This window comes from Homo sapiens, chromosome 9 (assembly GCF_000001405.40).
Source record: "Homo sapiens chromosome 9, GRCh38.p14 Primary Assembly".
Taxonomy (NCBI): Eukaryota; Metazoa; Chordata; class Mammalia; order Primates; family Hominidae; genus Homo; species Homo sapiens.
The window spans coordinates 38,201,161-38,227,047 of NC_000009.12; the positions used below are offsets into that span (position 1 = coordinate 38,201,161).

At 43.0% G+C, this 25,887-nt stretch overlaps 1 long non-coding RNA gene across 1 annotated transcript, besides 2 other annotated features; it reads right to left on the reverse strand.

Annotated features, from left to right (window-relative positions):
* Nucleotides 1–799: 799 nt before the first annotated feature.
* Nucleotides 800–25,887, reverse strand: LOC107987064 (uncharacterized). The gene is made up of 2 exons (XR_001746667.2): nucleotides 25,825–25,887; nucleotides 800–1,098 (listed from the first exon to the last, which is right to left on the reverse strand). It is a non-coding gene; the product is annotated as an uncharacterized LOC107987064 (long non-coding RNA).
* Nucleotides 10,738–10,938: a silencer, noted in NCBI's record as "peak7237 fragment used in MPRA reporter construct". NCBI's record gives its function as "represses an SCP1 promoter by STARR-seq MPRAs in K562 erythroleukemia cells {active_cell/tissue: K562}" and the evidence as "EXISTENCE:reporter gene assay evidence [ECO:0000049][PMID:32103011]".
* Nucleotides 12,727–13,607: an enhancer, noted in NCBI's record as "OCT4-NANOG hESC enhancer chr9:38213884-38214764 (GRCh37/hg19 assembly coordinates)". NCBI's record gives its function as "activates a minimal SCP1, AML or CMV promoter by ChIP-STARR-seq in naive and primed H9 embryonic stem cells {active_cell/tissue: H9 hESC(naive and primed)}" and the evidence as "EXISTENCE:reporter gene assay evidence [ECO:0000049][PMID:30033119]".

Genomic DNA, 25,887 nt, shown 5'->3' on the forward strand with positions numbered 1-25,887 from the left:
TCTTTATGGCTTTAATTCAGCCTCTCCACCTCTACCTCCTGCCTCCAGGGTGGAAAGCTCCCTTCTATCCTCTCATCAGCTTCCTTTCCTCTTTTCTCACTTGAGAAAATTTAATTTTAGAGCCAGAGAGTACCAAAGAGGCCTTTGGAGCTGGCCTCTGTTACAGTCTTTGAGGCTCTTTCTTGCACCGTTTGGCAAACTGAGGCCCAGACACAGGAAGGGCCTTGCCCAAGGTCCTATGATGAGTTTGCAGTGAAGCCAGGGCTGATCTTCCCCAGTGCACTTGCTTCCCTCTCCTTGAGGAACAGGAAGAGCCTGGGCCAATTGAGGTCAAAGTCACAGTGTTAATAGGAGTGATGGGCTTTCATACAAAGCCTAACATGGGATCCTTCCCGGACAATCCCCCGTTTTTCCTTCTATGAGAAAGGTGGGCTTAATCAAGGATGGCATCCTTGGACAAGAAAAGTGGGGAACAAGGGAGGCACAATGCCATCTAAAAAGCAACCCTGGGAGAGATTGTACCAAAGAATAGAGAGGAATGTACATTCCCTTTGCAGGATTCTGTGTGCAAAGGGTGTGTTTTCTCCCAGGAGTGTTTCCTATAATTAGAGCAAGCTGCCCACCCCCTCCCCCCACAGCAGCAGAGGGCTGCATGATGAGAACTGGTGGATCTAGTTCACTTGGAGGAGGCATCACAAGGGTTTTCCATACCACTCCTTATTAAGACAGCCAAGGATAAACATTAAAGCAAGGAAGATAAAGTCCTTGGAAAAAACCCAAACAAACAAATCTGCAAACGTTTTGTGAAGATTTGGGACCCTGTCACTTTAATCCTTCTATGATCCATCAATGCTGATTCTAATCCGGATCTTATCACCACACTTCAGTAGAATGCTTCTTTCAAGCTGGACAGAGCATTCTTTTTTTCAGGTTCCAGCATTTCTACCTTTGATGTTCCTGCTAACTGGGGCCCTCACTGATGAGATGCCGGGTGCAGCTTCCACTTGGGAACCTCTCTGACTCCACCAGGATGAGAAACAAAGAGTTGGAGAGGAGAATGGAGGCAGGTTTCCCCTCAGGCTCTGGCTGCTTCTCCTCCTGCATCAGAAGATCAAAGGGAGGGAAGAGTGAGGCCTCAGCGGGGGTGGGGGTGGGGGTGGGGGTGGGGTGGGGTGGGGTGGCCCTGCTCTGTGTGCTTCCCGGTAGGAGCCAATTTCTTCCCTAATTTATTGACCACCCTGACTCTTTCCTCATCTTTCTGATTAATAGTTTAGTTGGGGGTGCTAGGAAATTTACCTCCAGTTGTTACCATAGCAACCAGCTCTCTTGTACAGGATCCCATAGACAATGCATTTTGGGTCTTCGGCAGGAGCTGGGATTTACGAGGATCTCAGCATGTACCAGGGCAGAATGGGCAAGATGATGTTCCACTGATATGCTTAAGAATTATGCGTGGGGATAGGAAATGGTCTTGCCACACGGTAAATTGGGAAGGATGGTTTTAGTGCCTTTCCTTTCCTCTTGGCTTTGTCTCTCTCTTACAAGAGACCCCTCCCCCACAACATTCTCTCTTAGGTCCTCGGAAAACTAGTTCCTCACAGGACAAAGGCAGGGCCAGTTTGGTGGAAGTCACGGGGAGGCTCATTCCCTTTCAGCAAAAGGAAGAATTTGTAGTGGGTAGAACCAGCTGAAGATACAGTTGGCAGTCTTGGGAAGTAGTGATCCCTGGAGGTGTGTGAACAGGGGCCTGTCAGGGGCTCTAGAAAATATTGTATAGAGGACCGAGTGAGGGGTGGCATGTGTGGAACCTCTGGGTCCTTTTCATCCCTGGGAAGGGAGTTGCACTGTACCTGCTTGTGAGGCCAGCTCTCACCTCTCCCAACTAAGCAGAATATCAGATTTGGACATTTCAGTTCCCTGGGCCCCTGGGATGTCTTTGGTGTCCTCATAAACTCAATACCCAGTACACTGCCTGGCCCTTGGGTGAATGAATAAATTCCTTAGGCCTTTATTAAGTGTGTGGACACAACTTACTAACTGTTTATGTGTTCTTTTATTATGATAATAAAAATATACATTTCAAAGCATTGTCATATAACAACTGGAACTGGAAATGGAAAAAAATTTTGTTGCTTTTAAAACCCTATCCCAGGTGCTGGACTCATTCCCTTATTACAGTTGAGGCATAAAAGTGTTTGTCTTCCACAAACCATGTGGAAATGGTGGGGAGGAACTGAAAGCTCTCCTTGGACAAACCCCTTAACCTCCCTGTGCCTCCATTTTCTCATCTATGAAATGGGGGTAATGGAAACCATCAGGAATGATCAATTGGCTTTCACTTATGAGCTGAATGTGCTTGATGGGGAGATGCTTGGCTAAAAAGTGTGTAGCAATAGATTAACAACATCTGCCCTGGACACCAGATGTGGGGAGGATGGCACATGTGCCATATATTTGCCGTCCTTGGACCAGATGGTCTCAGAGAACCCTGATGGCTCTAGGTGCCAAGATGTGACGATTCTAGGCCACCTTAGTTGTTCTCTGCCTTCAAACCAACCTTCTTGGCCTTTCTTTACTCTCAAGCCTGTAAAATTATCAGGGAACTGACTTTGTTATTTCAAAACCTCATTACATTTTTCTTCTTCCTTCCTTCCTTCCTTCCTCCCTCCCTCTCTCTCTGTTTTTTCTCTTTCTTTCTTTCTTTCTTTTCTTCTTTCTTTCTGCTGGGGTCTTGCTCTGTCACCCAGGCTGGAGTGCAGTGGCGTGATCTCAGCTTACCGCAACCTCTGCCTCCTGGGTTCAAGCGATTCTCCTGCCTCAGCCTCCCAAATAGCTGGGATTATAAGTGTGTTCCACTATGCCTGGCTAATTTTTGTATTTTTAGTAGAGACGGGGTTTTGCCATGTTGGCAAGGCTGGTCTTGAGCTCCTGACCTCAGGTGATCCTCCTGCCTCAGCCTCCCAAAGTGCTGGGATTACAGGAGTGAGCCACTGTACCTGGCCGGAACCTCATTACATTTTTCTTTTCTCAACAGATTGACCTATGTAAAAGACCTCAGATTTGTCTAGAAGCAGGGAGATATCCAGGTTGGTTTGTAAATGATACAGATGGGAAATGCAGAATTTAGGCTCCAAGGAACACCTGGCCTGCAGCAGCTTGCATAAGAGCTATAGGCAAACAAGAGGCTGCTGAAATCTTTTGAAAAGACCTGCTGCAAGGAGTGGATGGAATGCATCCCACAGGGATTTATTCTGGGCACACAGCTGCACTCTAGGGCTGAGATTACTCTTTGGAAGCAAAAGACTGCATCCCTCAAGGGAGAGAGACCTGGCCGGGCCTTCTCAGGTACAACACTCTCTCCAGTATTTCCCCAATCTCTCCTCTAGCTCTGTCTGCTTCCACTCTCCCCACCCACCCCTGGCTACAGTCACGCTGGCCTCTGTACCATTCCCATGTCTGCCGCGTGCTTTCTTAACCCTATGCCTTTGCCAGTGCTATTCCAGCCACCTGTAATGATCTTCTCCACCCAGCAGACTCCTATTCATGTTCCAAGATTGAGCCACAGAGTAATCTCTGAGATGCCTTCTCAACCCTCTGAACCACATAGAGCCCTGCATCTCCTATCCCTTTCTCTACGTCTATACTGGCAATGTTGGTGAATCTCTACTTTTCTTGGTTCAGGGTAAGCCTGGACACAATGGAGTGAAACATCCCAGAATATAATCATTTTGTGACATAAAACAAAGATGGCTCAATTCTCTGATGAGAGCAGAGACTTGTTTCCATAAGAACCCTCTCTGGGAGCTCATTTCTCAGCTGAGGGCTGCTTGATGCTATAGGATGAATTCCTTTGGCTCATGCTCAGGCCTTTCATGGGGGCTGGGCTGAGGTCAGGCAATGGCCAGGTGGGCCCCATGGCTGGGCCTGACCTCATGAAAGAGCTTATATTTAATCTTTTGATGTTATCTCCTGTCTTTACCCATTTTTGTGTTGCTATAAAGGAATACCTGAGGCTTGGTAATTTATTTTAAAAAGAGGTTAATTTGGCTCATGGTTCTGCAGGATGTACAAGAAACATCGTGCTTCCTTCCCCCTCTCTGGTTTCCTCTCTAGCCAGGTGATATCTGCACACTCAGGCTCCCCTCTACCTTCTGCCATGAGAAAACCTGAAGCCCTCACCAGAAGCAGATGCTGCTGCCCTGTGTGGGCAGAGATCACATGGTGGGGCAGGAGGTACCAGTCTCTTTTTAACAACCAGTTCTCCAGGAAACTAATACAGCAAGAACTCACTCATTACCATGAGGATGGCACCAAGTCATTCATGAGGAATCTGCCCTCATAACTCAAACACCTCCCACTAGGCCCCACCTCCAACACTAGGGATCAAATTGCAACATGAGATTTTGAGGGGTCAAACAGATAGAACTATAGCACCTCCAAAGGAAGTTATATGTCCCATCAGAGAGGTACATTCACCAGATCAAAGTAGGAAATGTTCACCAAAGTAACATTTGCATCCCATTACTGAACCACACCATTTGTAGTACCTTATAAATTAATATGCTTTTAAAATACATACTGGAATTATCTTGTGATTAGCAATATCTCATTGCCTTCTTTTTTTATATTGAAAGTGCTCATTTGATAAATGTAAAGATTTAAAATACAGGCATGCACCACATAACAACATTTGGTCAATGAAGGACTGCATGCTTGATGGTGGTCTCGCAAGATTATAATACTGTATTTTTACTGTACCTTTTCTATGTTTAGATATGCAAATACTTACCACTCTGTTACAGTTGCCTGCAGTGTTCAGTACAGTCACATGCTGTACAGGTTTGTAGCCTAGGCGCAATAGGCTATACCATATAGCCTAGGCACATAGTTCTGCCATCTATGTTTATGTAAGTACACTCTATGATGTTCACACAACAACAAAATCACCTAAGGATGAATTTCTCAGAACATATCCCACACCGTTAAGCGATGCATGACTGACTGTATATCACAATTTTGGTAATTGTTTCTTCATATCTTCATTTATCAGTATGTTAGGCACCTTAAAAATTGGAAGTGGCCCAGGCTTCTCTCAGCCTCTGAGAGGCCCCACTCGTCTAGGACTATGTTTGCAAACCTACACAGTAGCTGTGTGACCTTGGGCAAGTTACTTAAACTGTCTCCCTAGCTTCAGTTTCCTCATGTACTCATTTACAAAATGGTGAAAATAACTCTATTTTGCAGGGTTTCAAAGATGAGTTAATGTGATGTAAGTGAAGTACCTAACAGTTTTAGATACACAAGTTTCTCAGTATACAGTAAGTAGATGCCCAGTAATTGGTAGCAGTTGTCATAATTTTTTCTGGTGTATTTCTAGCTGTTTTGATCCAGAAAACTTTTTTTTTTTTTTTTTTTTTTTTTTTGAGATGGAGTTCCGCTCTTGTTGCCGAGGCTGGAGTGCAATGGCATGATCTTGGCTCACCGCAACCTCTGCCTCCCGGGTTCAAGCGATTCTCCTGCCTCAGCCTCCTGAGTAGCTGGGATTACAGGCATGCACCACCATGCCTGGCTAATTTTGTATTTTTAGTAGAGATGGGGTTTCTCCATGTTGGTCAGGCTGGTCTAGAACTCCCGACCTCAGGTGATCTGCCTGCTTTGGACTTCCAAAGTGCTGGGATTACAGGCATGAGCCACCATGCCTGGCTAATTTTGTATTTTTAGTAGAGATGGGGTTTCTCCATGTTGGTCAGGCTGGTCTAGAACTCCCGACCTCAGGTGATCTGCCTGCTTTGGACTTCCAAAGTGCTGGGATTACAGGCATGAGCCACTGCACCTGGCCTTTTTATTTTATTATTATTTTTTTGAGACAAGATCTGACTGTCACCTAGGCTGGAGTGCAGTGGTGCAATCTCTGCTTACTGCAACCTCTGCCTCCCGGGCACAACCCATCCTCCCACTTCAGCCTCCCAAGTAGCTGGGACCACAGGTATGCATCACCAAGCCTGGCTAATTTTTGTATTTGTGTGTATGTGTGTAGGGATGAGGTTTGGCCATGTTGCCCAGGCCAGTCTTGAACTCCTGAGTTCAAGTGATCTGCCTGCCTCAGCCTCCCAAAGTGCTGGAATTATAGGTGTGAGCCAATGCACCTGGCCTGATCCAGAATACTCCGATATCAGTTACCTTTTGCTGTGTAACAAATCACTCTAAAACTTAGTAGCTTAAAATAACAACCATGTATTTACTTCAAGATTCTGTAGGTTGGCTGTTTAGGCTGGGCTCAGCTGGCAGGTTTTCTGAACTCAGCTAGAATTCCTCTTGCTTTTGTAGCTAGATGTGGGGCAGCTGCAGTTTGGTTTTGCTAGTTTGGGCTGAGCTCTTGTGTATGTTTAAGGTCTTGGCTGGGACAACTGGCCTGACTCATGAACTCTCATCCGCTGGCAGCTTAGCCTGGGTTTGTTCACATCATGAAGACAAGGGTCCCAAGAAAGCAGGTGGCGGTGTGCAAGGCCTCTTGAGGCTTGGGCTTGGAACTAGTACAGTGTCACCTCTGCCACATTCTATTGGCCAAAACTAGTCACAGACTCAAGACTTGAGGACACCACTTTTGATAGGAAGAGTTACAAAGTCACATCTGCAAAGTAGCAGAGACACAGAAAGGGAAGTAACTGTGGTCATTTCTGCAAACAATCTACCACAATTCCCCCTTTGTAAACAAAAAACAGCGCCTTTAATTTATTCCCTGGGTGCCCCAGTGAGCAAGTGGGGATAAATTGTGTTCTTTTCCACTCTCTGGTTCAAGCCTATTTTTAGATCTGGTCTAATAAAATGAATTTCACACCTGGGTTACTCACCCACTAACAAACACTTTGTTCTTATTGATGCCTAGGACAAATGCCGAGGCAGCCTAGATTTGTAGTTCCTTTACCTCTGAGTACAATAATTGTTAATTATTTGCTTTATTTGGTTCTGTTGCATTTGCCAATAGTCAATTACCTATGTTAGGTTTTCTTGTGATCAGTGGGGCTTATCCAATATTGCAGCTCAGGTCCGTTTTTGTCTCAGAGATGTCTATTCCAAGATAAAGAAAACTCTTGTTCACTAGTTTATTGAATATCTGTTTATTTCAAAGCCTTCTTATGCACTGGTGCAAGCACCAAAGTGCTCAGGCTGAGTTCTTAGAATTGAACAAAAGGCCAAAGATAAGCTTTCCTTTTGTGTAATCTGGCTAAATCCCAGTACATAGAATAGATAGAAAGAGCAGGTTGTGAGATCCTAGGGCATTTGTTCAGTTCCTGCCTGAATCTCTGAAACTGCCTTATCCCCTGTAATCCACCCTCCACATAGCTACCTAGTGACCTAATGCAGAGACCTGATCACATGGCTTGTGGTAGAGTGCATGGATGGACCTGACTCTCCAGTCCTCCGTATAGCCATGAACTTTGTCATATGACTTGGCAGGAGCTCTCACTGGTTCCCCTCCTCTTGAATCTAGACTGGGTCATGTGACTTTGTTTGGTGGACAGAATGAGGTGGAAGTGACAACGTGCCAGTTCTGAGCCCAGGCCTCAAGACACCTTGCATGTTTCTTTCCGTGCTCTTGTGCCTCTGTCATTGCCATGAGCAAGACATGCCCAGGCTGGCCCAGCAGTTCCAGGAGGAAGACAAGACATATATGGAGAAGAGCCAAGTCACTTCAGCAAGGCCCAGCCCAAATCAGCTAAGCCCCAGCCAACCCCAGATGCATAAGCCATAAATGCTGATTGTTGCTTTAAGCCACTGACATTGAGGTTGCTTATTACATGGCGGAAGTTGATGCCTCATTCTTCTATTTAAACTCCAGCACTGGTCCACTGATCCCCTGTGGCTTGAGGCATAAAATCCAGGTGAAATCTTCCACCATCTTGGCCCTGCTACTTTTCTCTTGGTGCCTCCATATCTCCCTTTTTACTTTATACCTTAGCAATGACCCCAAATGACTTGTAGCTCTTCAAATGCATCATGCTGGTTCACCTTTCTATGCCTTTGCACCTGGTATGCCCTCTGCCTGGAATGCCATTCTCCTCTCCTTTGTCTGCCTAGGAAATTCCTACTCATCTGTCAAAACCCAGCTCAGGCATTGTATCAATGTACTCTCCTCTCCCCTGAAGTAACTCATACCCACTTTTCTGAGATGTTTGGATGCCATATATCTATATCTATATATCTATCTGTATGTATATCTATAAATCTATTGTTACCATATATGACATGGTATTATGAAGTATGTTCATTTCCTTTTAGTTTTGCCCATTGTATTAGTCCATTCTCACATGGTTATAAAGAAACACCTGAGACTGAGTCATTTATAAAGAAAAGAAGTTTAGGCTGGGCATGGTGGCTCACACCTGTAATCCTAGCACTTTGGGAAGCTGAGGCAGGTGAATCACTTGAGGTCAGGAGATCGAAACCAGCCTGGCCAACATGGTGAAACCCCATCTCTACTAAACATACAAAACATTAGCCAGGCATGGTAGTGGGGCCTGTAGTCCCAGCTACTTGGGAGGCTGAGGGAAGAGAATCACTTGAACCCAGGAGGTGGAGGTTGCAGTGAGCCAAGATCGCACCCTGCACTCCAGCCACAAAAACAAATGAACAAACAAACAAAAAAGACGTTTAATTAGCTCACGGTTCTTCAGGCTGTACAGGAAGCATGATGCTGGCATCTGCTTGGCTCCTGGAAAGGCCTCAGGAAACTTACAAACATGTCAGAAGGCAAAGGGGGAGCAGGCACTTCACATGATGAAAGCAGAAGCAGCAGAGTTGAGGGGGTGCCACACACTTTTAAGCAACCAGATCTCACAAGAACTCACTCACTGCAAGGAGAGCACATAGGAGTTGTTGCTAAACAATTCATAAGAAATCCATTTCCGTGATCCAGTCGCCTCCCACCAGGCCCCATCTCCAACACAGGGACTGTAAGTTAACATGACATTTGGGTAAGGAGACACAACCAGACTATATCACCCATATTTCCCACCTATAGACTGATTTACTTTAGGACAAGGGCAGCTTTAATGTAAATGTACTCTTAGTGCCTAACCCAGTGCCTGACACCAATAATGCTTGATGATTAAATGAAGGAGGACCTGAAAAGAGGGAGCATCTGAATTGGGCCTTGACCAAGTGGTAGGATTTGGACACAAAGAGATGGGCAAAGGAACTCCAGAGAGAAGGTACAGTGTGAGTAAATTTCCAGTACAGGGGCTGGAAAACAGGAATGACATGATTTCATTTTGGCCCAAGCTTTTGATAGAGAGTAGCAAGAGCTATAGTGATATGTGATTAAAAAAAAAAAAAAAAAAAGAACTCCAAAAACATATGTAAAATGAATATTATCTTTCCAGAAGACTCATCCACTAGGAAGAGATGCAAGGCAATGTCTTACCCCAAAGCAAGATAATCTATGAATGGGTAGCTGATGAGATGATGGGGCAGAGCGAATACCTCCAGGACCCTCAGGGCCCTGCTGCTGTGTGCATCTGCCTCCTGTGAGGAACTTCTTCACTTGTAAACTCTTTCCAGAGTGTTACAGGCATTGAGAAGTCCAGCATCTCAGGGGTTAACTAGAGGCCTGTCTCTGTACCCTTGGGTGGTAGAAAATGACCCTGGATACTGTCAGGTGTAGCTTGGCCCCTGCTAGGAGGCAAATCCCACTGCTTTCTGGCTGGATGAATCTTGTCCCTTGAGGAATACTTGCAAAAATGGTGTTGCAATATAAAGCAGGGATGCTTAGTCCTCCATCCTTGGTCCCCACCACACAGAGAAAGGAAGGGGCTGGCCAGGGGTTTCTCCCCGCACAGGCCTTTCCCCTACCAGCTGCCTCTGCTGTTGCAGAGCTCTTTAAAATATTTAAACATCTTCATTATGGCGGGTTAGCCTTTTAAAGATTAACACTCCTCAATTATAAAAGCAGAGATATGTATCTTTGCTATGTCACCCCATGCCACCTTGTACTGGCCACTTCATGGCTTTTATCCCTTGGATCTATGATTGCCTAGTTACTTTCTGTCACCCCTACTGGGCCACAGGCTCCAGATGGCAGATAATTGGCCTCCACAGTTCACCATAAGATCCCCAAGGCCAGGCACTGGGCCTGGCCTTGGAAAATGCTTAATAGACATAATAGACAGTTGTTGAATAAATAAACTTGTAAAGAGTTCAGAAAAGAGAAGCTATGCTTGCCTACTACCCCAACAACCAGAGGGACCACTGCTAACATTGTCATAATTTTCCTTCCATGTCTTCTTTTATGCATGCATATATTCTATACTTTTGAATGAAGCTGTACTTTTTTTTTTTTTTTTTTTTTAGACGGATTCTCACTCTGTCGCCCAGGCTGGAGCGCAGTGGCGCAATCTTGGCTCACTGCAAGCTCCACCTCCCAGGTTCACACTGTTCTCCGTCCTCAGCCTCCCGAGTAGCTGGGACTACAGGTGCCCATCACCACACCCAGCTAATTTTGTTTTTGTATTTTTAGTAGAGATGGGGTTTCACTGTGTTAGCCAGGATGGCCTCCATCTCCTGACCTCGTGATCCGCCTGCCTCGGCCTCCCAAAGTGCTGGGATTACAGGCATGAGCCACACGCCCGGCCTGAAGCTATACTTCTTAATGGCATTTCTGCCATGTCATGAAAATTATTCACAAATACCATTTTTAATGGCTGCTCGATTTCCCATCATATGGAGACACCCTATTGTTGACTATTTATGTTGCATCCAATTTTTCACAGTTCTCCCAGAATAAGTATCTGGGTTGGGAAGGCATCCTTTTGCATTGGTTTTTGCTTATTTTCAAATGATTTTATTAAGCTAGACTTCCAGGAGAGGATTAAAATATATGAGCACTGTAAAAACTCCTGGAACATCTTGTTAGCACTGCTGCCCAGAAAGACTGGACCCGTGTCCCTGCTAGGTTTTATGTCAGAGTGAGCTGAGAAACTCAATGAGGCAGTCTGGGATAATGGCAAGTCACCGTCCTGGGCATATGAAAACCTGGGATGAGGGAGGACTTTGAACAGCCCCTCCCTTCTCTATGCTTCAGTTTCCTTTTCGTGCACTGGAAGGACAAGTATTGTGCTGCCTCATTCTCAGTGCTACTGTGTGAGTCCAATGAGGGGATACTTGGGACAAGGCTTTGACAGCTGAGAAACTTGGTTCTTGTTCTTTTTATTTTATGTTAAAAGGGACTAGCGTAACCAAGGGACTAACATTATTGAGGCAAACAGCATCTTCCCGAGAAATGGTGACTGCTTTTCTGTCTGCAGAACTGTGACCTTTTGGGAGACAAAAGATTTCAGTATTCATTGTCTTCTCACCCTTGATTGTCCTGCTGGGGTAGGTGGGGAGAAGAAGGAGGAGTAGGGGAAGACGACATTGACATCGGATCTGCAATTCCTGAGTCACTGGAGAAAAATGAACTAGGAGAAAAAGAGAAAGTTGCTACCAGAACTTTGGAAGAATTATTCCATGTGCTGCTCCCTCATGCATCCACTGACCCTAGGTGGGTCCCTTCTCATTCCCAAGCCTCAGTCTTCCCTCTGCATATTAAGGGCTCAGACCAGGATCCCTAACCAGCTTCCTCTGAGAGCCTGAGTGCGTGAGGCTGGGACAAGAGAGAGGGCTGTGAATTGATCTCCTCTGCACCATCTGCTGGCCTAGTCAACCTCTCAAGCCATCCCTGGTCTCTGGGCCTTCCTGGACACTAGAATCTCCCATGAGGATGTCAGTTTAGACTGACTTGAGGGTGAATTCACCTGGTGCAGAAGGTTGGGCTTTTAGATCCCTTTGTTGCAGCCTAAATCTAAGAACCAAATCTGAAACACTTCCTGTTCCTCCCCGACCCCATCAGTACACTCGAGTCTCTCTGACATGATGCCGCAGGCCCTCCATAATGTGGCTACAATCAACTTCTTGATAATAAGAGTATTTCTACTCCAGGTAGTTGTGAGGACCACACAGTACATGTGCATAAAGCATTTAGCATGATACTCAGCCAGCACATAGTAACCACTCAATAAATGGCAGCTGCTATTAGTTATCACTACCACTGTGACTTACTCTCTTCTCCCTTTCCTTTTCTCCAATGCCTATCCTGGCATGTGGCCTCATGCCCTTGTGTCTGCACAGCCTTTCCCCTCTGTATGGAGAGACCTCAATTCATGTCTCCCACTTTGTGCCCATTTTGGGGTGTAATTGCTGAGTGGAATTGCCCACCTTGGGAAGATGGTCATTTCTTGCTGCTTTTCTTTCCCCCAAACTCATATGGTGGAATTTGCTTATGTCTTGAACTTATGGTGTGACTCCACTGTAGGGGGGACACAAGTGCTCAGTCAACAAAGGAGTCATTGGCTCTAGGGGGTCTCCCCACTAGGTTATGAGCTATTGACGGCTGAATCTGGGTTTGTCCTCCTCTGCACCCATAGTGCTGACACCATGCTTATACATAGGCAGTTTCAGAAAAATCCATGTATTTAAAACAGATTTCTAGAACATCCATCAAGTGTCAGGCACTGCTCTGGGCATTGTGGATAGGATGGTAACCAAGATAGACACACGTCCCTGCCTTCCTGAAGCATGTATTCCAACTGGGGAGACAGGAAAAAGAACAATAAATGACTTAGTTAAACACTATTTCTCTTTGTCTGTTTCTATGTCTGGAGGAATTTCCTTTGCATTGGGAGGGTGTGTTTGTGAGAATATGTTTGGCTAGTTTTTAGTAGCCATATAGGAAGAGTACTCAGGAAGCTGAGGTGGATCTCAAAGAGATGAGCAGTTATCCTCCAGAAAAGGGAACCCAGGATAGAACTAGAGGTCAGTGACAGCTAGTGCCACAGGGCAGAGAAGGGAAAGACGGTGTTGAGGTGGTTTTGAATACAAGTCCTCCTCTGAATGGCTCTAGGGCACATTCCAAATTGCAAGTGCTGATTTGCAATGGAGCTGTTTTTCACTTGGACAACTTTATATATTGTGCTCCAGGGTGAACAACAACAGGGATGTATTTACTTAATGATGTGGGGAAGGGCAGCCAGTAAATAAAATAATCACAAAGTGTGACAAGCACTTAATAAAGGGGCCTGAGATGAGGCTGGAGGAAAGGCAGGGGCCGATTAGGCTGGGTCTCAAGACTGTGGTGAGGGGCTTGGACTTTATTTAGAGTGAATCAAAGACCAGGGGAGAGTTGGGATCTGATTTTGCTTTAAAGATCACTCTCACTGCCATGTGGAGTCAGTTTGATTTAATTGAATCAAATATTTCTGGAGAGCATCCAAATAAATTGGCTTCTTGAAGCCATCACCTCCCCCTGCTGAGTTTGACTAGCTCCTGGTAGAACTGGGGACCCTAATTTCCCAAGGAGACAAACATCCAATTTCTGGTTTAGATTTGCATTAGAAAGAGACCTTAATTACTCTGATCTCTAACACCTCTGAGGAGCCGATTTGAGCTTTTCAGATGCAAAGAGTGTTAATTGGCTAAGGGGCCCAGCTGAGCTGAACCCTCACCAAGTGGGAAGGGGTAGAGGAAGGAGAAGGGGAAAGGGGTTGGAGAGAGGAGGGGACACCTCGCATTTGTCAGGTTTCCTGGAGATCTGAAGGGGAGTGTGAGGGGAATTGATACCAACAGTTTGCCCACTTTCGATCCTTCAAGTCTCCTCCCACTCTTCCTTCAAGATCCAACTCACTCCCACTGTCCCAGGAAGCACCCCCGCCCCCCGTCCCCACTCCCACCCCCGGATTTCCTTTACCGCTTCCTAGGCGGACAGTGCCTCCAGGGACTCCTGGTTTCTAATCATGGCCCTTGGATGGCCCTTCCACTTGGAGGGCAAGGCTTCTATCCCTTGCAGCTTCATCTCCTTGCACAGCCCAAGGTGAGTGCTCGGAAAATGTGAAATGAATGAATAATAAAACAAATGATAATGTTAATGATAATATAATAATAAAAGCCACCACTTATGTAGTGCTTCCCGTGATTCTACACTGCTGAGTCTCAGAGTCAGAAAGCATTTACTCCTGCTCTCCAATTCCTGCCATAGCCAATCTCCAGCATAAATCACCATTGATGGTTATGTATTTATCTGTGGGATTGTTTAATACTAACCTCCTCCATGAAGACAAAGAACCCCTGCCTGTTTTGTTCACCACTCTATCTGCAGTGCCTAGCCCAATGTCTGAACCTAAAAGGCTCAATAAACATCTGTTGAATGAGAGAATGCTTGCATACATCCAGTGATGGGAAGTTTACTCTCTCCTAAGGAAGTCTTGCTCATGTATGGTTCCTTTTCCTGTTAGTTCTTCCTTTTACTGAAGAACTAACATTCGTTTCCCTGGAGCATCCATTTAACACTGATGCCTGGATTCTCTCACAAACAGCTTGCCACCTGCCCCTACCCCACCACCACGGGGCTGCAAGGCTATGATTTATAAATGTTTCTTTCTGTATGTCCTGTTCGCTTGCTATATGTGCCTGGTCACTCCCTCTGGACACAGTCCAGATGGTCCTGTTTCCTCTCACAGTAAGGCCTGATAAATATGTAAAGATGAGACTCTCACTTCCCATGTTCTAGGAATTACATTTCTATAATGCAACTCTTCAAATGTAGTTGCCTCTACTCTGTTTAAATAAAGATATAAGGCACCAATAAGGAAGATGAGTTGACCAATTGAGGTCTTTTCTACAGGTGTAGAAAATGTTAATGGTGGGTATATGGGGAATACAACTTTTTTTTTTTAAGTGAAAGCAGGTTTACAAAGAAAGTACGGGGTATACAAATTTTAAAAGTTGTAAAACTTTTCAACTTTTTAGTACGTTTGAAATTTTTCAAAATAAAATGTTGGAAATAGGAAAAATCCAATAAAGTAATTAAAATGGAATACTAAAAAAAATTAACCACAAAAAAGACAAGAAAAACAGAAAAAAAGAACAGGACAAATAGACAGCACATAGCAAAATGGCCATTAAAGTCATGTTAAATGTATTAAAGTAATGTTAAATGTAAATGAACTAACCATTTCAATTAAATGGCAGGAATTATCAGACTGGTTAAAGGAATAAGAGCTAATTTTCTGCTGTCTACAAGCAATACTTAAAAACACAAAGACATAGGTTAAAAGTAAAAGGATAGAGATTAGGCAAAAGCACTAATTATGAGAAAGCTGGAATGGCCATATTATCTGATGATAACATAGACTTTGAGACAAGAAGTATTATCAGAGATAAACACACTTCATTACAAAAAGTGGGTCCAGTTCATGAGGACAATAAAAGAATGATAAAATTTTTAACACATATAATAATAAATGTGAATGTGGGTAATAACAGAGCTTCAAAATACATGAAGCAAAAACTGACAGAAATAAATGGAGGAATAGATAAATCCACAACCATAGTTTCTATTTTTGTTTTTGTTTTTTGAGACGGGGTCTTAATCTGTTGCCCAGGCTGGAGTGCAGAGGCACAATCACAATTCACTGTAGCCTGGTAACTCCTGGGCTCAAGCAATCCTCTTGCATCAGCTTTCTGAGTAGCTGGGACTACAGGCACATGCCACCATGCCCAGCTAATTTTGCCATTTTTTGTAGAGATGGGGTCTCACTATATTGCCCAGGCTGGTCTCAAACTCCTGGGCTCAAGTGATCCTCCTACCTTGGCCTCTCAAGTGCTGGGATTACAGGTGTGAGCTACCACCTAGCCCTACAACTATGGTTTTTATGCTCTCAGTAATTGATAAAACTGTTAGAACAAAAGTAGTAAGGATAAAGATCTGAACAACATTATAAGGCACTTTGACACCAAGAACTGTATGTAGAATACTGATTTTTTTTTTTCAAGAACCCATGGAACGTTCATTAGGATAGACCATATGCTGGTTTTCAAGTGTAATACATTTTAAAAGATTGAACATTTATACAATGTGTTTTACAAATAATGATGAATATGAAGCTACAGATTGAAGAAGCCCAATGGGCCCCAAATACAAGAAACATGAAGAAAATGATATCAAGGCATGTTATAATCTAAGAGCTCAAACCTTTTGATAAAGAAAAACTTAAGCCAGGTGCGGTGGCTCACACCTGTAATCCCAGCACTTTGGGAGGCCAAGGCAGGTGGATCACCTGACGTCAGGAGTTTCAGACCAGCCTGGCCAACATGGTGAAACCCCGTCTTTACTAAACACAAAAATTAGCTGGGCATGGTGGCAGGCACCTGTAATCTCAGCTACTTGGGAGGCTGAGGCAGGAGCATCACTTGAACCTGGGAGATAGAGGTTGCAGTGAGCCAAGATGGAGCCACTGCACTTGAGTATGGGCAACAGAGTGAGACTCAGTCTCAAAAAAAAAAAAAAAAAAAAAAAAAAGATAAACGAAAACTTTAAAAAGCAGCAGGAGCTGGAGCCACAAGAAGAAACAAAAAGGAAAAAGAAAAGAAACAAGAATGACACCTCTGAAGGACTGAAAGAGAGAAAAGTCTGTCAACCTAGAGTTTATATCTCAGCAAAAAGATCATTCAAAAGCAAGAGCAAAATAAGAACTTTAAAAAATACATAAAAACTGAGGGAATTCTTAGTTGGCACACCACACTATAAGAAACACTAAAGGAACTTGGTCAGACAGAAGGAAAATGACACCAGATGGAATCATGAATTAATGGAAAGTAATTAAAAACATTAGAAATGGTAACTGCATGGTAAACAAGATTTTTAAATATTATTTGAAATTCTGTTAAAGATAATTTACCGTTAACATGAAAATAATTGCAATGCAACATGGCATTTATAACATGTAAAAGTAAATGCATAACGAGACAAATGTTGAGAGTGGGGAAATGGAAATATTTACTATTGTAAGGTTCTTTTTAAAATGTTTTCGTTTTTAATTTTTGTGAGTACATAATAGGTCTATATATTTATGGGTTACATGAAATATTTTGCTATAGGCCTGCAATGCGTAACAATTACATCAGGGAAAGTGGGGTATCCGTCTCCTCAAGCATTTATCCTTTGTGTTACAAAACAATAGTTTTTTAGTTATTTTAAAATGTACAAGTAAGTTATTTTTGACTATAGTCACCCTGTTGTGCTAGCAACTACAAGGTTTTATTCATTCTTTCCATCTTTTTGTACACATTATCTATCCCCACTACCTCCCTGCCTCTGCTACCCTTTCTAACCTCCAATAATCATTCTTCTACTCTCTCTCTCCATGAGTTCAGTTATTTTAGTTTTTAGCTCCCAAAAATAAGTGAGAACATGAGAAGTTTGTCTTTCTGTGTCTGACTTATTTCACTGAACATAATGACTTCCAGTTCCATTCATGCCATTGCAAACGAGAGGATCTCTTTCTTACGGCTGAATAGTACTTCATTGTGTATATGTATCACATTTTCTTTATCCAATCATCTGTTGACGGACAGTTAGGTTGCTTCCAAATCTTGGCTATTGTGAATAGTGCTGTAACAAATATGGGAGTGCAGCTATCTCGGATATACTGATTTCCTTTCTTTTGGGTATATACCCAGCAGTGGAATTGCGAGATCATACGGTAGCTCTACTTTTGTTTTTTTTGAGAAACTGCCAAACTGTTCTCTATGGTGGTTGTACTAATTTGCATTCCCACCAGCAGTGTATGAGGGTCCTTTTTTCTCCACATCCTCACCAGCATTTGTTACTGCCTAACTTTTGAATAAAAACTATTTTAACTTCTCATTGTAGTTTTGATTTGCATTTCTCTGATGATCAATGATGCTGAGCACCTTTGCATATGCCTGTTTGCCATTTGTATATTTTCTTTTGAGAAATGTCTATTCAGGTTTTTTGCCCATTTTTAATCAGATTAGTAGATTTTTTTCCTATAGAGTTGTTTGAGCTCCTTATATATATTCTGGTTTTGTTTTGTTTTGTGTTTTGTTTTATTTTGTTTTGTTTTGAGATGGAGTTTCACTTTTGTCGCCCAGGCTGGAGTGCAATGGCATGATCTCAGCTCACTGCAACCTCTGCCTCCCAGGTTCAAGCGATTCTCCTGCCTCAGCCTCCCAAGTAGCTGGAATTACAGGTACCCGCCACCATGCCCAGCTAATTGTTTGTATTTTTAGTAGAGATGAGTTTTCACTATGTTGGCCAGGCTGGTCTCAAACCCCGGACCTCAGGTGATCTACCCACCTCAGCCTCCCAAAGTGCTGGGATTATAGGCGTGAGGCACCGCGCCTGGCCTATATTCTGGTTATTAATCATTTGTCAGATGGGTAGCTTGCAAATATTTTCTCCAATTCTATGGGTTGTCTATTTACTTTGTTGATTGTTTCTTTTGCTGTGTAGAAGATATTTAACTTAATGTGATCCCATTTGTCCATTTTGCATTGGTTGCCTGTGCTTATGGGTTCTTACTCAAGAAATGTTTGCCCAGCCCAATGTCCTGGAGAGTTTCCCCAATGTTTTCTTGTAGTAATTTCATAGTTTGAGGTCTTAGATTTAAGTCTTTAATCCACTTTGACTTGATTTTTGTATATGGTGTGTGACAGGGGTCTAGTTTTATTCTTTTGCATATGGATATCCAATTTTCCCAGCACCATTTACTGAAGAGACTATCCTTTTTCCAAGGTATGCTCTTAGCACCTTGTCAAAAATGAGTTCACTGTAGATGTATGGATTTATCTCTGGGTTTTCTATTCTGTCGCACTGATCTATGTGTCTGTTTTATGCCAGTACCATGACATTTTGGTTACTATAGCTCTATAGTATAATTTAAAATCAGATAACGTGATTCCTCCAGTTTTGTTCTTTTCGATTAGGATAGCTTTGGCTATTCTGGGTCTTTTGTGGTTCTATATAAATTTTCAGAGTGTTTTTTCTATTTCTGTGAAGAATGTCATTGGTATTTTGATAGGGATTGCATTAAATCTATAGATTGCTTTGAGTATTATGAACATTTTAGCAATATTCTTCCAATCCATGAACACGGAATATCTTTACCTTTTTTTTTTGTCTTCTTCAATTTCTTGCATCAATGTTTTATAATTTTCATTGTAGAGTTCTTTCACTTCTTTGGTTAAGTTAATTCCTAGGTATTTAATTTTATTTGTAGCTGTTGTAAATAAAATTACTTTCTTGATTTCTTTTTCTGATTTTTTGCCATTGGTATATAGAAACACTACTGATTTTTTGTATGTTGATTTTGTATCCTGCAACTTTACTTCCAAGAGTTTGTTTATCAGTTCTAATAGTTTTTGGTAGAATCTTTAGGTTTTTCCAAATATAAGATTATAACATCTGCAAATAAGAATAATTTGACTTCTTCCTTTCCAATTTGTATGTCCTCTATTTCTTTCTCTTGACTGCTCTAGCTAGGACTTCTAGTACTATGTTGAATGAAAGTGGTGAAAGTGGTCATCCTTGTGTTCCTGATCTTAGAGGAAAGACTTTCAGTTTTCCCCATTCAGTATGATACTAGCTGTGGGTCTGTCATATAGGTTTTTGTTTTTTGAGATGCAGTCTCGCTCTTTCACCCAGGCTGGAGTACAGTGGCACAATCTTAGCTTACTGCAACCTCCGCCTCCCAGGTTCAAGCAATTCTCCTGCCTCAGCCTCCTGAGTAGCTGGGATTACAGGTATGTGCCACCATGCACAGCTAATTTTTGTACTTTTAGTAGAGATAGGGTTTCATCATATTGGCCAGGCTGGTCTCAAACTCCTAACCTCAGGTGTTCCACCCACCTCAGCCTCCCAAAGTGCTGGGATTACAGGCGTGAGCCACCATGCCAGGCCCATATACGGTTTTTATTATGTTGAGGTATGTTCCTTCTATCCTCAGTTTTGTTTTAGGGTTTTTATCATGAAGGGATGCTGAATTTTATCACATGCTTTTCCAGCATCAATTGAAATGACTATATGTTTTTGTCCTTCATTCTTTTGATATGATGTATCACATTAATTGATTTGTGTATGTTGAGCCATTCTTGCATCCCTGGGACAAATCACACTTGGTCTTGATGAAAAATCTTTTTTTTTTTTTTTTGAGACAGAGTCTTGCTCTGATGCCCAGGCTGGAGTGCAGTGGCACTATCTTGGCTCACTGCAACCTCTGCCTCCTGAGTTTAAGCGATTCTCCTGCCTCAGCCTCCCGAGTAGCTGGGACTACAGGCGCATGCCACCACGCCTGACTAATTTTTGTATTTTTAGTAGAGATGGGGTTTCACCATGTTGGCAGGCTGGTCTCAAACTCCTGACCTCAGGTGATCCACCCGCCTTGGCCTCCCAAAGTGCTAGATTACAGATGTGAGCCACCGTGCCTGGCCGATGAGCAATCTTTTTAAGTGTTGTTGAATTTGGTTTGCTGGTATTTTGGTGAGGGTTTTTGAGGCAATATTCACCAGTGATACTGGCCTATCATTTTCTTATTTTGATGTATCTTTTTCTGGTTTTGGTATCAGGGTAATACTGGCCTCATAGAATGAGTTTGGAAGTATTCCCTCCTCTATTTTTAGGAATAGTTTTAGTGGGATTGGGATTAGTTCTTTTTTTTTTTTTTTTTTTTTTTTTGAGACGGAGTCTCGCTCTGTCACCCAGGCTGGAGTGCAGTGGTACAATCTCGGCTCACTGCAAACTCTGCCTCCTGGGTTCATGCCATTCTCCTGCCTCAGCCTCCCGAGTAACTGGGACTACAGGCGCCCGCCACCGCACCCAGCTAATTTTTTGTATTTTTAGTAGAGACGAGGTTTCACCGTGTTAGCCAGGGTGGTCTTGATCTCCTGACCTCATGATCCGCCCACCTCGGTCTCCCAAAGTGCTGGGATTACAGGTGTGAGCCACCGCGCCTGGCTGGGATTAGTTCTTCTTTGAATGTTTGGTAGAATTCAGTAGTGAAGCCATTGGGTACTGGGCTTTTCTTTGCTGGGACTTTTTATTACAGCTTCAATCTCATTACTTGTTGTTGGGCTGTTCAGGCTTTGGGTTTCTTCATGTTTCAATCTTGATAGATTTCACGTGTCTAGGAATTTATCTGTTTCTTCTAGATCTTCTGATTTATTGGTGCATAGTTGTTCATAGTAGCCACTAATGATCCTTTGAATTTCTGTGGTATCAGTTGTAATGTCTCCTTTTTAATCTCTGATCTTATTTATTTAGGTCTTCTCTCCCTTTTTCTTTGGCTAAAGGTTTGTTCATTTATTTTTTCAAAAAAACAGCTTTTTGTTAAATTGATCTTTTGTATTGTTTTCTTCATTTCAATTTCATTTATTTCTGCTCTGATCTTTATTATTATTTTTCTTCTACTAATTTTGGGTTTGATTTGTTCTTGGTTTTATAGTTCTTTAAGATGCATCATTATTTATTTGAAGTTTTTCTTATTTTTTTGAGGCACTTATAACTATAAAATTCCATCTTTGTACTGCTTTTGCTGTATCCCATAGGTTTCGGTATGTTGTGTTTCTGTTATAATTTGTTTCCAAAAAATTTTTGATTTTATTCTTAATTCATTCACTGACCCACTGGTCATTCAGGAGTATATTGTTTAATTTCCATATATTTGTGCAGTTTCCAAAAATCCTCTTGTTATTGATTTCCAGTTTTATTCCATTGTGGTCAGAGAAAATGCTTGATATTATTTTAATTTTTGGGAATGTTTTAAGACTTGTTTTGTGACCTAATATATGATCTATCCTTGAGAATGATCCATGTGCTAAGGAAAAGAATCTGTATTCCGTAGCCCCTGGATGAAATGTTCTGTAAATATCTATTAGGTCCATTTGGTCTATGGTGCAAATTAAATCTAATGTTTCTTTGTTGATTTTCTGTCTGGAAGATTGGTCCAATGCTAATAGTGGGGTTTTGAAGTCTCAAGATATTTTTGTATTGGGCTCTATCTTTAGCTCTAATAATGTTTGCTTTATGTATCTGAGTGCTCCCATGTTGGGTGCTACATATTTAAAATTGTTATATTCTCCTGCTGAATTGATCCCTTTATCATTATATAGTGACCACCTTTGTCTCCTCTTACAGTTTTTGTCTTGAAATCTATTTTGTCTGACATAAATATAGCTAACAATAAAAGAAAATAAACAGCCTGAATAAACAGTCCAGAAATAAACTCACACATATATGGACAACTGATTTTTTTTACAAAGGTGCTAAGAAAAGACAACTTTTTAACAAAAGCTAGAACAACTAGATATTCACATGCAAAAAAACCCCACAAAACCAATAACTTACATCTGTACTTTGTACTATATACAAAAATTAACTCAAATGGATCAAAGACCTAATTGTAATCCTAAAACTATATTTTTAGAAAGAAGCATGAGAGGAAATCTTTGTAAACTCATATTAGGCAAAGATTTCTTAGCTATGTCACCAGAAGCACAGTCTATAAAAACAAATTTGAGGCTGGCACGGTGGGCTCATGCCTGTAATCCCAGCACTGTGGGAGGCCGAGGCCGGTGGATCACCTAAGGTCAGGAGTTTGAGACCAGCCTGGCCAACACGGCAAAACCCCGTCTCTACTAAAAATACAAAAATTAGCTGGGCGTGGTGGCATGCACCTGTAATCCCAGCTACTCAGGAGGCTGAGGAAGGAGAATCACTTGAACCCAGAAGGCAGAGGTTGCAGTCAGCTGAGATCGTGCCACTGCACTCCAGCCTGGGTGACAGAGCAAGATGTCATCTCATAAATAAATAAATAAATAAATAAATAACAAAAATTTGATAAATTGGATTTAATCAAGTTAAAAACTTCTCTTCAAAAGACATTGTTATGAGAGCAAAAAGATAAGCAACAGTCTGGAAATGATATTTGGGATTCATATATCCGATAAAGGATATGTATCGAGAATATGGAAATCTCAAAATCTAATAATAAGAAAACAAAAAATCCCACTTAAAAGTGGACAAAAGAGTGGTACAGATGCTTCAAAGAAGGCAAATTAGAACATAAGATGCTCATTATCATTAGTTATCAGGGAAATCAAATTTAAAACCACAGTAAGATACCACTGTGTACTTATCAGAAAGGCTAAATGTCAAAAGACTGTCCATACCAAGTGTTGTTGAGAATGTGGAGAAATTGGAGCTCTCATCCACTGCTGATGTTGATGTAAAATTGTACTACTATATTGGAAAATAACTTGGCATTTCTCAAAAAGTTATACTTTATGATCCAGCCATCCTACTCTGAGGTGTTTACCCAAGACAAATGAAAGTATATGTGCATTAAAATATTTGCACACAAATATTCATAGCAGCATTATTTGTCACTCAACAGGTAAATGGATAAATTATAGCACATCCATACAATGGAATGCTATTCTGCAATAGAAAGGAACAGACTATTGATAGAAATGTGGTGCCTACCTCAGAATGAATCTTAAAATAATCATGCTGCAGAAACAAGACAGACAAAAAAAGAATACATGCTGTATGATTTCACTTGTATAAAATTCTAGGAAATGCAAACTAATCTGTAGTGACAGAAAGCCAACCAGTGAGGATGAGGTGGGGAGGGATTATGAAGAACAAGAGGAAAGCTCTGGGGATGAAGGAGAAGCTCACGGTCTTGGTGATGGTTTCGTGGGTGTAAACATATGTCAAATCTTATCAAGTTGTATACTTTAAATATGTACAGTGTATTCATGTGAATTATATTTCATAAAGCTGTTAAGTATAGTTGAGTCTTAATGAGGCATATACCAAAAACAACAAAAATTCTTGAACCTTGTCCTTGATCTACTGATACACATTACCTGGGAGGGAGGCTCAAGGCTGCAGTTTTGCAGTTCTGACACACACACCACCACTTGAAAGCCTCTGGTCCATGGAGCTGAAATTCCTCCCAGTGGCCTTGCCAGGCTCCCTTTTTCTCTACCTGCTTCCCATGAAAGCCTCAGGTTTCCCAGTCCCCATTTCATTCTCTGAGCTCCGGCCCACCCAGCTGTCTGAGGTTCCCTGACGGGCCCAGGCTCTTGGCCTCTGGGCCTTTGTAGCTGCTGTGTCCTCCCCCTGGAGCACCCCTGTGCTCTTCTTCAGTTGACTGGTTCCCAATGGTGCTTCAAAACCCTGCTCAGGAGGCACCACCTCTGGAACGCCTTCCGGACACCCCGCCCCAGGTTGGAGGCTCCATCTTTTCCACTAGCTTTCCCTGTGAACCTCTCCGAACTTTGGTTTCTTGATCTCTAAACTGAGCTTAAAAATAATGCCTACCTCACAGGATTGTTTTGAAGACTCAATGAGATAATGTAAACTTTTTAGCATAGTTGTTGGTGCATATTAGAATTCAACAAACAGTGGCCACTCTGGTGTGGCTGGTGCTATTATTATTCTCCATCACTCTTGTCATCTTCTCCTCCTTGTGTCCCTGGAGGCCTCTGAAAATGTCCCACAGAGCACACTGGTGGCTGCTGTTCAGTCACTTGTCTGCTTCCTCCCCTAGACCATGACTTCCCTGAGGACAGGGGTGCACCACAAGCATTCAGTGAGTTCAGTCCACAACACTTATTGAGCAGCCTCTGGGAGCCAGACCCTATCCCAGGTGCTGGGGACACAAAAATTAGGAGGAAGGCAATGAACATCAGAAGTGAAGGTGGCAGAGAGGTGCCAGAGGGGAGTGTTAGGAGCACAGATTTCTGAGCCATCTGCTCCATCACATGTAGCTGTGTGACTTTAGATAAGATACTTAACCTCTCTGTTCCTCAGTTGCCTCATCTGTAAAAGGTGGGGGGTAAATAATGCCTATCTTGCTAGGTTGTTGTATCATTTTCTTTTCTTTCCTTTTTTTTTTTTTTTGAGATGGAGTCTTGCTTTGTCTCCAAGGCTGGAGTGCTGTGGCATGATCTCAGCTCACTGCAACCTCCGCCTCCTGGGTTCAAGCACTTCTCCTGCCTCAGCCTCCCGAGTAGCTGGGACTACAGGTGCACACCACCATGCCTGACTAATTTTTGTATTTTTAGTAGAGATGGGGTTTCACCATGTTGGTGTGGCCAAGGCTGGTCTCGAACTCCTGACCTCAGGTGATCCGCCCACCTCGGCCTCCCAAAGTGCTGGGATTACAGGTTTGAGCCACCGTGCCTGGCCTGTATCATTTTATTTCATGTTAACACATAGTCTTGCTCAACTAGGTAATACTTTTTTTTTTTTTTTTTTTTGAGATAATCTCACTCTGTCGCCCAGGCTGGAGTGCAGTGGTGTGATCTCGGCTCACTGCAACTGCCGCCTCCTGGGTTCAAGCGATTCTCCTGCCTCAGCCTCCTGAGTAGCTGGGATTACAGGCGCCCGCCACCACACCCAGCTAATTTGTGTATTTTTAGTAGAGACGGGGTTTCACCATGTTGGCCAGGCTGGTCTGAACTCCTGACCTCAGGCGATCCGCCCACCTCGGCCTCCCAGAGTTCTGAGATTACAGGCGTGAGCCACCGCGCCCGGCCCAATGAGATAATATCTGTAAAACATTCAGAACAAAGGACACTGAGTATCCACTGGATTTGGCAGTTAGCAGTGCATCAGAGAGATGTGGAGAGAGCTGCTTTAGAGGAAGCAGAAGCCAAAGTGCAGGGATGGGGAAGTGAGTGACTGGAAGGGATGAGAAAGGGGAGTGGAGACAGCCCCCTGAGAGCTATTGGGCGCAACAAGAGAGAGGGTAGTTTGATGGAGAGGGCGTTATTGACAGGAAGGTGCCAGTAGGATGGGAGTGACTGCAGATACAGGAGAGACGAAGGAGAACAGAGTAAGGGGGCGGGGGCTGGACTGCCTGCATCCAGGTGCAAGGGGAGGTGAGGGGGGGGTCGGCAGGGAGGGAGGGGGCTCGTTCATACCTGCTGCCGGGGTGCTCTGTATCCTCAAGTGGAGCAAACTCATCTGTGGAGGGAGAGAAGAGT